The 17,011-nt window shown below is 55.9% G+C and overlaps 1 protein-coding gene across 13 annotated transcripts in view, besides 1 other annotated feature; it reads right to left on the reverse strand.

Moving 5' to 3' along the window:
• The window catches only part of FRMD1 (FERM domain containing 1), a 39,962-nt gene that overhangs the window by 10,239 nt on the left and 12,712 nt on the right, over window positions 1-17,011 (reverse strand). For 3 of the 13 annotated variants that reach the window (XM_011536138.2, XM_011536137.2, XM_017011317.2), the window contains exons 2-7: window positions 15,549-15,691; window positions 11,912-12,002; window positions 4,034-4,113; window positions 3,422-3,498; window positions 1,538-1,724; window positions 268-423 (exon numbers count right to left, since the gene is read on the reverse strand). In XM_011536138.2, the coding sequence (XP_011534440.1) occupies window positions 268-423; window positions 1,538-1,724; window positions 3,422-3,498; window positions 4,034-4,113; window positions 11,912-12,002; window positions 15,549-15,691 (734 nt within the window). The other 10 variants (XM_011536145.2, NM_001122841.3, NR_110312.2 and 7 more) reach the window with 9 other exon arrangements.
• Window positions 14,870-15,591: an enhancer, noted in NCBI's record as "H3K27ac-H3K4me1 hESC enhancer chr6:168478883-168479604 (GRCh37/hg19 assembly coordinates)". NCBI's record gives its function as "activates a minimal SCP1, AML or CMV promoter by ChIP-STARR-seq in primed H9 embryonic stem cells {active_cell/tissue: H9 hESC(primed)}" and the evidence as "EXISTENCE:reporter gene assay evidence [ECO:0000049][PMID:30033119]".

Here is a 17,011-nt window from a genome sequence, read left to right on the forward strand (position 1 = left end):
GCCACGGGGGCTCCATCCATCCCTGCCCTGGGGTCCTGACCACTCTTAGCCATGGGGGCTCCATCCGTCCCTGGCCTGGGGTCCTGATCCCACTCTTAGCCATGGGGGCTCCATCTATCCCTGCCCCGGGGTCCTGGTCCCACTCTTAGCCATGGGGGCTCCATCCATCCCTGCCCTGGGGTCCTGATCCCACTCAGCCATGGGGGCTCCGTGCATCCCTGGCCTGGAGTCAGAGTCCAGCCCATCGCTGGCCGCCCTGGGCTCGACCTTGTGCAGCCTGAAGAAGTGCACGGGCACGTCCTCCAGCCGGCAGGCCTCCTGGATGAAGCACAGCATGGCCTCCTTGGGGCTCAGGCCCTGGCGCTCACGGTGCAGGGTAGGCATGTGCCGGAGGATGTAGTCAATCCCCCTCTTGGTGATGATCTGAGGACAGAGCCGGGAGGTCAGCTCAGACCCCTGCTGGTCCCCCCTTCCTCCTTGCCAGCCCCCTGCTCCGAGAAGCTTCCCCAGACTCCCACAGCTGGTGCCAACCTCGGTGGGCAGGGCCAGGGCCTGGCTGCTGAGCCCAGAACCAGAGATGAAGTCTCAGTGCCCACTGTGGCCCTGGGCCCTGTCTGATTTCCTGTCCCCCTCGGGTCCTCCCCAAGGGGAATGGCAGCAGCCAGCCCTCCTCAGACGTCTGCAGGTGGGGACTCTACTCCCAACGAGCCCTGGCTCTTGGGAACCTGCCCAGTGAGGACCAGCTGGGGCCATCACCGGGACCGGGGTAAGAATCGCAGGGACGTGGAATCACTGAGGGTGGAAATGTGCTCAGAGGCCAAGGGCACGTGTGGCATCCACAGCACTGGGAGGAAGCCTGGCTGGGCCCCACCCTGACCTCAGCGACTGCCTCAGAGCAAAGGTGAGAAGGCCCCAAGGTGCACAGGATAGAGAGGTACACAGGGATGAGCGGTCAAGGAGAGAAACCTTAAAGTTCACCCGGAACAGGGCCTGCATCCCCGGGGTGACAGCCATCAATCCGCGCGGCCATCAGGCCAGACAGCGCCTGGGACTGGGCACACAGTGGTACAGCCCACGCCTCTCCATGGCCCTCCTCCCAGGGGGATGCCACTCCTTCCCTTACAGGTGAGGAAGCTGAGGCTCAGAGACTCCTACGGGTCCCAGGATACTTAGAGAGAAGCAGGAAGGTTCACAGCCACAAGGCCCGTGTGGGTCACATTCCACAGCCAGGCAGCCAAGGGGCTCAGAGAGGTGAAGCCAGAGTGCAAGGCCACACAGCTGGCTGGGTGCGTCAGGAGCACAGGCACCCACACCTGCCTGCTCAGGGCCACTCCTCCCACACTGCCTGCCTTTGGGGGTGGTAAGGACCCTTGGGCCTTCAGGACAGAAGGACAGGTGATTGCCCTGTTTCCATCCCTGACCCTTGCTCCAGCAGCCCCTGCCAGGCCCTCAGTCCCCTGCTCCCATGGATGGCACCCGGTGGAGGTGGACAGGCACCAGACTAGCAGTGCTGGGAGGAGGTGGGCCCTGACCTTACCCACTGTGGGAAGTAGGAGTGTGGCTCGAAGTACCTCCCGGCATGGGCCGACTCCCGGTGCTCGCCCAGGTCAGCCTGCAGCGCGCAGGCAGCCAGCAGGAAGTAGGCTTCCTCCCGGTGAGCGCACTGTGACCTCAGCACGCGCTCCTTCAAGTGGCAGTAGTACAGGTGCCGTGCCCTGTGGTCGCTGGAAGGTGGCAGGGAGTGAGTTCCAGGACGACCGGTGTGGGGACTGCTGGCCCCTCTGGCCCTGCCTTGTCCCTCCCCACACCAGCTCCCAGGGCTGTCCTGAGCCCCTGGTACCTAGTTCCTGTCTTGTTATACCCACAGCTGTGTCCCTGCAGGGCCAGCACGGCACAGGCCCACACTCTTCCTGGAGCGGGGCACAGGTGACTTGCTGCCACCAAGGAGCCACTAGATGAGGCTCCACCTGCCGAGGTCCCACTCCTTCCCCAGTGAGCTTGGCCTTCACCAAACCAAGCCCCAGTGCAGGAGAGGTGCACAGAGCCCGGGCGACTCGAATCCCTGGAGGTGCACAGGGCCTGGACAACTTGAATCCCTGGATGTGGACAGACCTGGCTCCCAGAGCTCACCGCCCAGCACGGGGCTTGGCCATGGCTGGTATTCATTAATCACAGGCCAGGTGGAGGCTCGCCCAAGATGCAGGTGCAAGATCTTCTCATATAATTCCCCCGAACTGGCCCCATAGCACCAGGTAGCTCCATCCATCAACCCAACACTTTCCAGACCTCCCCTCCAAGGCTATCCAGAACCTTCCACATATTCACACACCCCTCACTCTCCAGAACCTGCCACACAACCACATACCAGTGTCTCCAGGGCTCTCCACACAACCACACACCTTTCACTCTCCAGAACCCTCCCACACAACCACACGCCCCTCACCCCCTAGAACCTTCCACACAACCGCACACATGCCTTTTGGAACTGGCAGGGATTGTGCCTGCTTAGGGAATTCCTGGGAAACCCCCTTAGGTTTTCCCCCAGGGTAAACCCTGTTCACGCACCCCTGAAGCTCTGTTCTGGAAGTAAGTCTCAGGATCCTCCTGAGGGACGTCTTTGTTACCCTAGAAGCTCTAAGGCAGCTCTGGAAGAAGCAGCCCCCGTTGGTTTAGAGTGCAGCCCACCAGATGTACAACTTACCCACTCCTGTCGGGGAAAGCTTCCCACTAGACACCTGCAGAGTGGGCAGTGAACAGCGAGAACCGCCACGCAGCAAGCATAGCAGCCCTTAGCCCAGCGACCTCCAGAAGCCTCGCCCACCCCCGGATGGTATACCCACCCTAGAGAGTACGAGTCCTGGCATTTGAGGAAGTACCACTTTAGGCCGGGCACGGTGGCTCACACCTGTAATCCCAGCACTTTGGGAGGTCGAGGCGGGTGGATCACCTGAGGTCGGGAGTTTGAGACCAGCTTGACCAACACAGAGAAACCCCGTCTCTACTGAAAATACAAAATTAGCCAGGTGTGGTGGCGCCCGCCTGTAATCCCAGCTACTCTGGAGACTAAGGCAGAAGAATCGCTTGAACCCAGGAGGTGGAGGTTGCAGTGAGTCGAGATTGTGCCATTGCACTCCAGCCTGGGCGACAAGAGTGAAACTCCGTCTCAAAACAAAACAAAACAAAACAAAAAGAAAAAGAAAAGAAAAAGAAGTACCAATTTATGACACAGTCTGTATACCTTTCGATTAAATAGAATTCCTGTGTTAACCCCAAAGCAAACAGCCGATATAGTGGGGTTGTTTGTTTGTTTTTTGTTTTTGGATAAACTCAAATGTAATGTGTGGCCTTCAGGGGACTTCCACGTCATGCGGCAGATTTTCAGTATTCCAGGAAACACCCCTTACAGTCCGCATGCCGTTACCTTATGACCCTTCCGTTTTCCACGTAGTGCTGCACTCGGAGGAAGGCCACGAAGGGGGCTCTGGGTTTCTCATTTCCCTAGTGGGGAAAATGCAAGAAAGAGCAAGTGAGCCGCAGGGAGGTGCCGCTGGCTGTCCTGTCTTCCCAGTTGGGGGGGCCTGGATTGCTTCACACTCAGCTTAAAGTCGAAGCTCAGGTGTCTGCAGCCATAGCTGACAATTCGACTCATGGTATTTTCTACCCGGAGAACCCTGAGTGGGACGTGGTCTACAGCGTTCAAGAACATCTGCAAAGGCGGGCTTCGGGCGGGCACACCTGCTTGCAGCCTCAGGGCTCACCACAGTCCCCCTGCGGACAGCCCCTCTGGACGGAGCAGCTGCGTGGACAGAAGGCAGCACATTGGTCCAGCACAGTCCACCGCGGTGCCTGCCCTCTCCCACCCCACGCATCCCACCACTGTCCACCGTGGTGCCCTGCTCTCTCCCAACCCACGCATCCCCGCGGTCCCCCACAGCCCACCGCGGTGCCTGCTCTCTCCCACCCCACGTGTCCCCGTGGCCCAGCACAGCCCACCGCGGTGCCTGCCCTCTCCCACCCGACACTCTACACTTACTTCATTTCTTTCTTTCTTCCAATCTTTTGAGAAGTACTTGCTGAGCTTTTGCTCCAAATCCATAAATATATACTCATTGTCTGAAAGCAAAACAAAAGGCTTCATCAGAGCAGTCACCATGCTTCTCAGGTGTCACCGTGTGTTCAAAACTGAGTGTGGCTTGGAGAGAAGAGATGCACAGCTGAAAACTGTGCGTCTGCAGCTGACGCTGCATATGGGGCTTTCCTTGGCTGACAACGCAGAAAGCATCTTAACACACATGCAGGTGTCAAATGCTTGCTTACTAAAACAATGTTCCAACGTGTAGGAATATTACAAGCTGATATTCAAAACTGGCACATGCTCCGGGCACGCCCTTTGGGAAAGCAACTTAGCAACATGTATCCCTACCCTCTTCCTCTGCAACCCAGGCACCCCTCTCTCAGCTATGGAATGAGTCGTTTAAAAAATAGAGATGTCAGGGTTGGATGCGGTGGCTCAACCTCGTAATCTCAGCAATTTTGGAGGCCAAGGCAGGAGGATTGCTTGAGGCCAGGAATTCAAGACAAGCCTGGACAACATAATGAGACCTTGTCACCACAGGAAAAAAAAAAAAATTAGCTGGGTGTGGCGGTGCATGCCTGTAGTCCTAGCTACTCAGGGGGCTGAGGCAGGAAGATTGCTTGATCCTGGGAGTTCAAGGCTGCAGAAAGCTATGAACGTGCCACTGCACTCCAGTGTGGGTGATAAGAGTGTGACCCTGCCTCAAACAATCAAGCAATCAATCAATAAAAATAGAGATGTCTATAATCTAGTACCAACGTGATCAACTTCAAGTCAATGATCCCAGCTTTACCTGTTAACCTGGTTTCCCTGGAAACTATAAGAGACGCTTCTTTCTAAATTAGGTGTTTCTATATTTTAAAAATATTTACCAGCATGTGTTTTCTTTATGGCCTGGAAAAATTAAACAATTTTCCTAGAGAGGAAAATAAAGCCTAGAGAGACACCATTCCTGCTGCGACTTAAAGCAACGTACAATCCCTCCGTGTCTGCTGGGAACTGGTTCCAGGACTCCCCTCGGATATCAAAACCCGGGGATGGTGTAGAGTTTGCATGTACCCTATGCACATCCTCATGTACACTTTACATCATCTTGAGATTCCTTATAATACCTGATGCAATGTAAATGCTGTGGAAGTCTTTGTTGTACTGTGTTGTTAAGCTCATATTATTTTATTGTTGTACTATTTATTGTTATTATTTTGAGTATGTTCAACATGAGGTTAGTTAAATCCAAGGATGCGGAACCCGTGGATACAGAGCACAGTCTACTCTTATTTATATTAGAAAACCTGCAGTCCTGAGAATAAAAGCCACAGGGAAAAGTTAGTCCCTGATAAGGCAGTACTCCCTTACAGCCACCTGCATTACATATGAAGATACTCCATCCCCAAGTGCTAGCACATCTGCAGATAAATGAAGACACCAGTGAGGAAGACTTACCCACAGAGGCCTGCAGAAAGGGCATCACAGGGCCGGGTGCCTGGCTCAGCCCCTCTCTGCCCTGCCTGTCTTTCTAATCCTTAGTACCTGGCTCTTCTAGACGGCGTTAGACCCAGGGGGAGGCTCCAAGGTGTCACCAGCCCCAGTTTACTTTTGTGTCAGGGAGGATCAAACACTTGGCTCATCGGTAACAACCACAGCAACTCACTGCTTAGACACTGGGTGCCATGCTCTGTGTTAAAGACTCTGAACCAATCCCTACATCTTCAACCTGATGGCACTGTTATCTACCCCCATCTCACAGACAGGGAGGCCCAGACTTGCAGAGTCTAGGGGAGTCCCCACCCCACCCCATAACAGGCCAAGGACCCTCAGAGCCAGGGGTTAGCAAACCAGGGCCCCAGGCCAAACCCCAGCACCCACTCGCTCTTGTTAATAAAATCTTGTTGGTAGACAGCCACAATCATTCTATTACATCATGTCCATAGCTGCTTTCGTACTGCAAAGTCAAAATATTTACTATGTGGCCTTTTACAGAAAAAGTCTGCCAATGCCCGGTCTAAGCAAATGCCGAGTGAAAAGGTCTAGATCACCATTCTCTGGTCCTGACTCCCCCGAATTCACTATTTGGGTACTCGAGCTTGAACTCAGTGTTTGCAGCATGAGTGGCAGATGTTTAGCAATGTTCGCTAAAGGATCTGGGGTTACCTTTGCCTCGGTAAGGTCAGCAAAAGGCCTTTTATTTGTACATTCATTACCTAAATCACCCCACTGTATCCTTACCAACTCCATCTCAAATCATAATAAGGAGGACAGAAAATGAACTCCTTAAGCTTAGTACTTCCTAGGACTTAACCTCAAACACTACGAGAACAATACTTGCGGCAACACCGATCTAGAAGATGAAACCACTTGTTTCTCAAAATCATCACTGTCCCCCTAAACCCCTGCACCCCTAGCAGTGGGACAGCAGACATCATCACCTCTGGTGATGGGCGCACCCTTCTTAGCCCGGCCACAGTGCCCCGCTGTATGGTCAAAGCAGTCTAGATGTCACTGTGAAGACATTCTTAAGATGAAGGCGACACTCAGGCTGGGTGTGGTGGCTCATGCCTGTAATCCCAGCACTTTGGGAGGCAGAGGCAGGTGGATTGCATGAGCCCAGCAGTTTGAGACAGCCTGGGCAACATAATGAGACCCGACTCCACAAAAAAATACAAAAGGTATCTGGCTGTGGTGGTATGCATCTGCAGTCCCAGCCACTCAGGAGGCTGACGCCAGAGGATCCACCTGAGCCATGATCATAGCACTGCATTCCAGCCTGGGTGGCAGAGTGAGATGAAGGAAGGAAGGAAGGAAAGAAAGAAGGAAGGAAGGAAAGAAAGAAGGAAGGAAGGAAAGAAAGAAGGAAGGAAGGAAAGAAAGAAGGAAGGAAGGAAAGAAAGAAGGAAGGAAGGAAAGAAAGAAGGAAGGAAGGAAAGAAAGAAGGAAGGAAGGAAAGAAAGAAGGAAGGAAGGGAGAGAGGGAGGGAAGGAGGGAGGGAGGGAGGGAGGGAGACATTTACATCAGTAGACTTTGAGCAAAGCAGATGACCTTCATACTGTGGGTGGGCCTTGTCTAGTCGGTTGGAGGACTAACAGGGAAAGACTGAGGTCCCCTCTGGAGGAAGGAACTCCGTCTCCCGATGGCCCTCGGACCCAAGATGGCAACAGTGGCTCTCCCTGGGTCTCCAGCCTGCCCTGCAGATTTGAGACTTGCCAGCCTCCAACAATCATATGAGCCAGTTCTTTACAATAAATCAGCTTCTCTCTTTCTCCCTCTATGTATCTATACACACACACACTATCTGTAGAGAGAAATGGGATCGGAAGGATACGTGTATACAGACATACACATACGCATACATCTGTCAGGAGTGTGCGTGCGCGTCCTACTTGTCCTGCTTCTCTGGAGAGCCTTGACTGGCACATGACTGTCTGCTGGAGGACCGGCATCTTGCTGCTGGAAGGGGAGATTCTGGCGTTGGCTACAGGCTCCCCTGAACCCAGCAGGGTGGGGACTACATGCACCCTCTAGAGCCTCCTCACTCTCTTCCCAGTGAGAGTCATCCTCTCAGCTCGTGGCAGGCAGATCGGGACACACCATGGAGTCCACAGGTGCCTGTTGATTGAACAAAAGGCCTGAACTTCCCCACTGTGCCCTGCTACCCTTGACACTGGTGTGACAGCACGAGACTCCTGCAGGGCTGGCCAAGGGGCTGGACACCGGCACCCTTGCTCACTGCCACAGGAGCAAGCTCCAGGCAGCGAGGGCCAAGGCCAGGCCAGGTGGAGCCCACTCTCTCTCTATTCCTCTCTGTCTCTGTCTTATTTTGCCTTGCCTCTATATCCAAGCCCCAAATCACATCTCTTGTTTTTTGCTACAGGCCTCAAAAATGTACACAATTCACAAAATGTCTCAAAAATGTACACAATTTACAACTTAAGAGATAATTAAAGTAAGAAATCCAAGCACTTCCCGTATAAAAAGTCCAAATCTCCAAAGCAAGGGCTCTGGCCAGAACCAAGAAGGGTGTCCTCGGGTCAAGAAGGCCCTGGGGCCACAGGGCTCTGCTGGGTGGAGGTGCCAAACCGCAGCGCCAGGGAGGTTGAGGGGCCGGTTCTGAGTCTGTCCTCCTCCTGCAGAGGCGGATTCCTGGATCACCAGGAGGAAAGGTGACCCCAGATTCCTTTCTTGTCCCTGAGGCCAGTGAGCTCGGCCACAGGCTGTCTCAAATGTCCAGTGTCAAGGGGACAGGGAGAAAGGGGACATCATCAAGAAAGACGTGAGAAAGGGTTGGTTGGCAGGAGTCGGAAAGCCCTCCCACCTGGGAACTCCCTCCGCAGGGTAAAGACAAGGCAAACACTGGCTGATGAGCCAGTAATCTCCCTTTGTGTGCACCTGCCTGGCCGCCAGTGGGAGCTGTTCCAGGCCACCCTCCCAGCCCCTCCTGTTGCTCAAGGCTGTCCCAGCGCTGCAGGCCCTCATCCTGTGCTGACCTTCAGGACTCAAGGACCCCTGCCTCCTGCCTCCCGGGCCTCCCCACTGCTGGCCCTTGTGCTCAGACACACGGCAAATGCCCGTGAGCTCTCCCCTTAGCATCTGGGCAGCTGATGACACGGACACTGTGCCTCAGTCGAAAGGGAAACAGGGTTAGAAGCCAGCCGATGGCGTCCAAGCCGGGGCTGCCGACTTCATGACCTGTCTGCAATTCCCCAACACCGAGGATCATCAGCACATAAACCGGGAGAATCCTTGGCCACCGGGAACCTGCCCCGCCTGGGTGATGGATTCCTGGGCAACAGGAGAGACGCCCTGCCCTGCACCCCCTGCTGGGAGGGGAGGTCCTTCCCCAAGGAGCTGCCACTGGACCTCTGGGGGACCCCCACACTCCACCCTCAGAACCCCCCAACACCACCTGCTGTCTCTAGGTTTCGGGGACATCAGGGGCTGTGCCTGAACTCCGGATAGGGCTGAACTCCCCGTGCCCTCACACCCGTGGTCGCCTTGCGAACCACGTCTCCCAGAGGCCCTCTCAACCACAGCGACCCGCCCTGTGCAGGGCCTCCCATAGGGAGGGGGATGCCCTGGGGCGTTTCTCGCCTTGGGAGAGCAGGGAAGCCTCAGTGCCGAGAACTTGGGCACAGACGAGGCAGAGTGGAGCGCGGACCAGAGCTCGCCCCCCAAACACGGCGGCTCCAACATGTCGGTGAACGTCCGGCGGTGATGAACATGATGCACAACCAAAGCGATGGGTCCTGGCCCGGGTTTTGCGGGCAGCCCCTGAATTCCCCCCAATCCCCACCCCGCCCTCGATTTGTTTTTTGGCTGTTAAAGAGACTTTAAGCCTTTAAGAAATAAAAGATGCCAAGAACAGGGTTGGGACGCTTGAACTTTCTTCCCTCATTCTGTCCAGACTAATTTTCTTTTCATTTCTAAAATCACAGAGAGATGACACCAACCACAAAACCGAATAGCAAAACTGGACTCTCCAAAGTCAACATCCCGCCCTCCCCTGAGTGACTCTCACTGTGATTAAAAGTGGGGCCTGGAGACTTCTGTCCACAGCCCTCAGATGGCTCAGGTTCCCATGGGGGCACAGGGTCTGGGAAGCTACGTGTTTTGACTGGGCTCCTGCACAGGGTGGCATGAATGGCAGCTGTGGACAAACATATTAACTGGGCTAGAACTTCCCTGAAAACTGGGAAAAGTCCACCAGTATTCAACCTTGACAGCAAGACTGACATCTGCTGCTCCCGGGTGTAAGCCCAGTGCTGGGTGTAGTTTCCCACCTCCCCACCCCCAGTCACCCCCCTGCAACACCAAGTGAAGCTGCTGGAGGCTGGAATCGGGTGGGGGCTGCCTGACAAACACAGCAGCAAAGGGAGGCGCCCTCCAGCTCTCCCTGCTCCCCACCCTGCCTGGAGAGTCTGACACAGGAAGCCCCAGATCCACACCTGCCCTCAGGGGCTCATGGTGTCCACTCAGGGTCCCCTGGGGGACTCAGGACTGGGTCTAAATGCATGAGGTCACATCAGAAAGGCTGGCCTGCTGGACCCCATCTTATTCCCTCTGCCCCCCAGGGTCCTCCTTCCACACCGCCCAGGGGTCCCACAGCCCCCAGAGCAGCCCTGAGATGGAGCTAGGGTTCTGCTCCAGGCGGAGATTAGGGAAGGAGGAGACTGAGACAGGGGCACTCTCGCCTCTACTTTGAGGCACAGAAGGGGCCGGGGCCACCCGCGCTGAGGGAAAGGCTGGCTTCTGTCCACACTCACGATGGTTGGAAGAGAAACTTAGGATGGAACCCCAGGGCACCACACAGGACGGTCACAGCAAGATGGCTTCGTCCAAAAGGATCCTAAAATCTCACGCTCCCTTCACAGCCCCTGACAAGGCGCTGCAGACACTGGGAGGATGGAGTGTGGGTTCCGGTGTCCCGTGCAGGGTCCCCGGCTCACTCACTCCCCTAGACAGAGGGCAACTTGTTCTGGGGAGAGCTTGGGAGAGGTCAGCTCAGCCCTGTCCTCCCCAGGCAGCAAGACAGGGGGATATTCAGCCACCGCTGGTCAGCACTGAGCTTCATCTCCATCTGTCCATGCCCCATGTAGCCTCCCTCGGCTTGGCTGGGGAGAGGGGGCCAGGGCTTGTCTGTGCTGCCAACCTCAAGCCCCCACTATAGATGAGAAGCCACCAGTCCTTAGTGAGACTGGATACAGGCGCTGCCACTCACTTCCTGGGGCAGCAAAAAGTGCACATGAAGCACTTTGGGTTCTCACGGCTCTTCCATGCGACACAATCCAGCTGCAGGGTCTGTGGAGCCCAGGGGACCGGCCCCACTCCCCTCCACCTGCCGTCTGCGTGTACTAGAACTCCAGGTACGAATTCACATAGATCCAGGGTCCTGCTACTGTACAGAGGTTTCCAGAAGCCCCTGGAGCCAACTGCCCCCCAGAACAGCACAATCGGCATTGTGCAGGTGTGGTGTGTGCATGTTTACATGTGTGAGTGGTGCGTAACTGCATGTGTGTGGTGCGCACATGTGTACATGTGCGAGTGGTGTGTAACTGTGTGCATGTGTGTGGTGCATGCATGTGTACATGTGTGACTGGTGTGTGCATGTGTGTGGTGTATGTATGTGTACATGTGAGTAGTGTGTAATTGTGTGCATGTGTGTGGTTTGTGCATGTGTACATGTGAGTGGTGTGTAACTGTGTGCATGTGTGTGGTGCATGCATGTGTACATGTGTGACTGGTGTGTGTGCATGTGTGTGGTGTATGTGTATGTGTGAGTGGTGTGTAATTGTGGGCATGTGTGTGGTTTGTGCATGTGTACATGTGACTGGTGTGTAACTGTGTGCATGTGTGTGGTGCATGCATGTGTACATGTGTGACTGGTGTGTGTGTGCATGTGTGTGGTGTATGTATGTGTACGTGTGAGTGGTGTGTAATTGTGGGCATGTGTGTGGTTTGTGCATGTGTACATGTCAGTGGTGCGTAACTGTGTGCATGTGTGTGCTGCATGCATGTGAACAAGTGTGAGTGGTGTGTAACTGCACGTGTGTGGCGTGTGCATGTGTACACGTGCAAGTGGTGTGTAACTGTGTGCACTGTGCATGTGTGTGGTGTGTGCATGTGTACATGGTGCGAATGGTGTGTACCTGCATGTGTGTGGTGTGTGCATGTGTACATGTGAGTGGTGTGTAACTGTGCATTGTGCATGGTGTGTGCATGTGTACATATGAGAGTGGTGTATAACTGTGTACATTATGGATGTGTGTGGTGTGCCCACCCCCTTGACCTCCAGCAGATGCGGCCCCTGGGCATTCCTGCAGGTGGGGACTGAGCGATGCTTACTTCTGACCACACAGAGGCCAAAGAACTGCGCGTCTCTGATGCTCGCCACGTTGCACACTTGCTGGAAAAGCTCGCGGCCAGTAGCCTTCACCTGCAAAAGAGGTGGGGAGGGGTTCAGGGAGGGGCCGGCACCTGTCCCCAGGGAGGCCACCTCAGCAAACGAGGCCCAGCGGGGCACCAGGTGGACGACCCAGTCAGGCATCCCCTGCAGGTAACAGGTCTGGGTCTCTCACTCTCTCCCAAAGCTAAACACCGCTGCATGCCCATCAGAGCACCTGTGAGTGCCGGGAAGTGAGGGTGGAGGGGGTGGGGTGCTCTGGACAGTGGATCAGGGCTGCCCCCTCCATCCCTGTCTGTCTCTGGTGTGAGGATTTCCCGAGACCAGTCAGGGACACACGATGCAGCGTCAACTCCAGGGCCGCCCTCTGGGCTCTGTCCTCGCACGGCACAAATGAATGCTTGGTTCCCCATGAGCGCGAGCATCGGTGTCTCACATCATCCATCGCCCAACTGATGCGAGTGATCCCAACAGTGTTCCTACAGCTGAGCCTCTCACGGCAGCCTCTAAACACCCAGCGTCTGGTGCGTGTCCCTGTTTCCGGCGTCCCGTGTCCACATTTCCGGTGCCCGGTGTCCACATTTCCGGCGTCCCGTGTCCACATTTCCGGTGCCCGGTGTCCACATTTCCGGTGCCCGGTGTCCACATTTCCGGTGTCCCGTGTCCGCATTTCCGGCGTCTCGCATGTGACACTACTTCACGCCTGTTCAGCCCCGGCATGGATGGGATTGGCGGGCATCCCCTGCAGAGCTCTTCCTGAGTCCTGTCTGTTGCAGCGCTGGGGCCCATCCCTGGTCACCGGGCAGCAGAGGCAGCGTTCTCAGGCAGAATCGCAGGGCGCCAAGCCTGTGACGGAGGGTGCAGGACGGTTGCCGTGCGCTCTGCTCTCAGACTCTCCCGAGGACCCTCACTTGGGGCTCCAAGAGGAAACCTCACAGCAGGGCACAGCTGGGGCAGCTGGATCTGCAGGAGGCCATTTTGCGATTCTTCATTTGCATGTTTCAAGTCAAATGAGTATCCAGCTTACTAATCCTGAGTTAATCCTGAGTTACTGTAAGACTGACTTCCTTATTGATATGGTTTGGCTGTGTCCCCACCCAAATCGCATCTTGAATTGTAGTTCTCATAATCTTCCTGTGCTGTGAGAGTGAGCCGGTGGGAGGTGACTGAATCACGGGGGTGGTTCCCCCATCCAGTTCTCATGATAGTGAGAGAGTTCTCATGAGATCTGATGGTTTTATAAGGCACTTCCCCCTTCGCTGGGCACTCATTCTCTCTCCTGCCACCCTGTGAAGAGGTGCCTTCTGCCATGACTGTAAGTTTCCTGAGGCCTCCCCAGCCATGTGGAACTGTGAGTCAATTAAACCTCTTTCCTTTATAAATTACCAAGTCTTGGGTATGTCTTTATTAGCAGCGTGAGAACAGACTAATATGATTATTGTCTGCTTAACTTGGTGAGGGGCAGGCCCCACAATGACGGTAACACAGATCTTCAGTGAGGGTCTTCCCAGCCCATCCCTTTCGAATAACTGGGCTTGACACATATTTGGTTGAATACAGGGTTCCTGTCTAACTGCAGACACAGGTGTGCACACACTCCAATAGAGCGTTCCCTGTCTAACTACAGATACACACGAGTATACACCCCAATAGAGGGTTCCTGTCCAACTGTAGATACGGATGCGTGCACACCCCAACAGAGGGTTCCTGTCCAACTGCAGACACAGATGCATGCACACCCCAACAGAGGGTTCCTCTCCTACTGCAGACTCAGATGCATGCACACCCCAACAGAGGGTTGCTGTCCTACTGCAGACAGAGATGTGTGCACACACCAACAGAGGGTTCCTCTCCTACTGCAGACACAGATGCATGCACATCTGATAGAGGGTTCCTCTCCTACTGCAGACACAGATGTGTGCACACCTCAATAGGGGGTTTCTGTCCAACTGCAGACACAGATGTGCACACACTCCGATGGGGGGGGGTTCTTGTCTAACTGCAGACATAGACGACTGCAAACCCCAATGAGGGGTTCCTGTCCAACTGCAGACACAGATGTGCACACACCCTGTGGGGGGGTTCCTGTCTAACTGCAGACATAGATGACTGCACAACCCAGTGAGGGGTTCCTGTCCAACTGCAGACACAGATGTGCACACACCCTGTGGGGGGGTTCCTGTCTAACTGCAGACATAGATGACTGCACAACCCAGTGAGGGGTTCCTGTCCAACTGCAGACACAGATGTGCGCACACCCCGATAGGAAGTGGCTCTGTGGTTGCCAACTTGCCAGGCCCAGCAGGGGCCACAGGAGTTGCAGAGGCACTTCAGGGAGCTCCGTCAAAAGCAGATGAGCACGATTCACCTGTTCAGAACAGGCGGTTCACTATGTTCTAGCTGCATGATCCCTCAGTTAAAATCTTACCGTGAAGTTCCGTGCAAGAAACCTAAAAGTTCCAGCTCTTATGGGGTAGGGGGCCAAAGCCCCAGCATCTTCCCCACAACAGGTCCTCTTATGACCCCTCCCCCAGCCCGAGGCACTGCTGGGGACCCCAGGAAACTACAGGACATCCCCCATTAGCTCAACTCCAGCTTCTCGTTGCTGGGTGGGGACACAGAGTCTTGGGGAAGATTTTGCCACAAACATAGATGTGGGCGTTTACGTAAACACAGAACTCTATCCCGAAGCAGACAAGAGACTCCCAGATTCCCAGGGGACTTGAACCAGGATATTACTAGCAAGTCATACTCCATTCCAGGTAGCAATGATACATTAGCTATGCAGAAAGTCATCGTTCTTCAACAAACCACTCTCATTTTAATTGCCACATTTTCATTATCCACATTAATCATTAAAATGAAAGTACCATCTCAACTCCTGTCGCCATGAACTCAACTAAAACAGGTAGACAAAATGGGGGAAAGGGAAAAGAAAAGGAAATAGAGAAGCATAGAGATGGTGACGTCTGAACACAAGACAGGAGCTGCTCCTTGGAAACCGGCTTCCTGGCGCTCTTCCCTCAGCGCTCCCTCCCGGGAAGGATGTGCTGAACCATAAACTTATTTCTCACAGCAACGTCTATCAGGGATGTTTCCTTCACAGGCCCAGTGAAAGGGCTGGCCCTTGACACCTCACAGACACCTGGCCTAAGCAGAGTGAGGCGGTCCAGGGACTTTCCATACACAGGCTGTGTCCTGAGGCTCTGCTCACCCCATACCCCTGCTCACCCCCACGGCCCTGCTCACCCCCACGGCTCTGCTCACCCTCACAGCCCTGCTCACCCCCACGGCTCTGCTCACCCTCACGGCCCTGCTCACCCCCACAGCCTTGCTCACCCCCACGGCCACCCAGGGCCCTGCTCACCCCCATGGCTCTGCTCACCCCCACAGCCCTGCTCACCCCTATGGCCACCCAGGGCCCTCCTCACCCCCATGGCTCTGTTTACTCCCAAGGCCATCCAGGGCCCTGCTCACCCCCACGGCCACCCAGGGCCCTGCTCACCCCCACGGCCACCCGGAGCCCTGCTCACCCCCACAGCTCTGTTTACCCCCACGGCCACCCAGGGCCCTGCTCACCCCCACGGCCAGCCGCAGTTGCTCCCGGCTGGGCAGCAGCACGAGGACATCCCTGTGTTCCGAGGCCATCGCGTCCATTCCCAGGGTCGGCTCCTGCTGACTGCATGCAGGCCTCTCAGGACTGGGTTCCATACATCGCGCCCCTGAAGGAGGGAACGTGTCAGGGTTTGTCCGGGCGGGGTCTATGCCCCTCCCTCTCGGGGGCACCGCCATGCTGTCGTTACTCGGCCCTCCCCCGCCATGGGTCGCAGGTGGGTGCTCAGCACCTCCCAGATCACAGCTGTGCTTTCCGGGACCCGCCCTTGCCGAGCTTCTCACTGGGAAGGGAATTGAGAGGGAAGCCTGGGCTGGGAATCCAGCATGGCCAAGCCAGGACAAGGGTCAGAGCTGCAAATAGCTGGGTGTGTGGAGGGCGCCAGGAATGCAAATAAACAACCTCAGGCTGGGCACCCGCCATGCAGCACTCCCATGCAGGGTAGCTCAGCAGCCAGCCTCGGTGTGGGCCCCGTGAGAACCAGGCTGGGGGAGACAGGACCCAACTCCTCCACCTGACAACCCCTATCTCCTCAGGGTGCCTGCTCCTTCTTCTATAATGTGGAGAGGGCTATGCAAACCCCATGGGCACAGATGCCAGAGCCAGGGCTGCTGGGGAAGATGGAGCAGCAGCAGGGCAGGACGAGGAGGGCGGGAGGAAGGCAGCCTGGGTGGGCACCCTGCCCCACACACCTCCTGTGGCATCTGTTATCGACCTCAGGAAGCAGCACAGCTGCCGTTCCTGGACAGGTTCTGCCAGGAGGGACCCTGGCTCCCTTTAGGGGCTGGAAACTGAGGACACTTCCTTCCTTGTCCAGGGCCAGCAAATCCCTTCCTGCCTGCAGCAGCTGGAAGGCCAGGAAGGGGGTCCTGGCTTGCGTGGACAGCAGCCGGGTGCATCAGCACGAGGGGTGGGGACATCTCCCGCAGGGCCTGGAACCCCTGAGGCCGCTCAGCAGAGATGAGCAACGCCTTCGAGCTCTTTGGCACAGTGTTAGGTGGGGAAGGGACCCCAGGATCCTGCCTGGCCCTGGGACCACCCAGACCTTTGGGCGCTGCAGGTCAGGAGAGGCAGTTCCCACGGGCCTGGGCTGTGGAATTCTGTCCTCAGCCGTGAGCTCCATCAGTTTCCTGCCATGGAGTCTGGGATGCTCTGGGACCTTCCTCTAGTAAGGGGTCTGGACCTCCGGACGGGCCGTTGTTCATCTTAGGAAATTCGCACTCCAGCCGCCTTAAGGCCTGGCCCGGTGGGTTTAGGAAATTCGCACTCCAGCCGCCCTAAGGCCCGGCCCGGTGGGTTGAGAAGATTTAGGAGGCTTAGGCCTCACCTCCCCCGGACCCTGGACTGACACTGGCTCCCTCCCTCCCTCCCTCCGCTCAGATCCAGACCCTTCCCAGACCCTCGAGGCCACACATGTGTGCCCAAGACA

Source organism: Homo sapiens, chromosome 6 (assembly GCF_000001405.40).
Source record: "Homo sapiens chromosome 6, GRCh38.p14 Primary Assembly".
Classification (NCBI taxonomy): domain Eukaryota; kingdom Metazoa; phylum Chordata; class Mammalia; order Primates; family Hominidae; genus Homo; species Homo sapiens.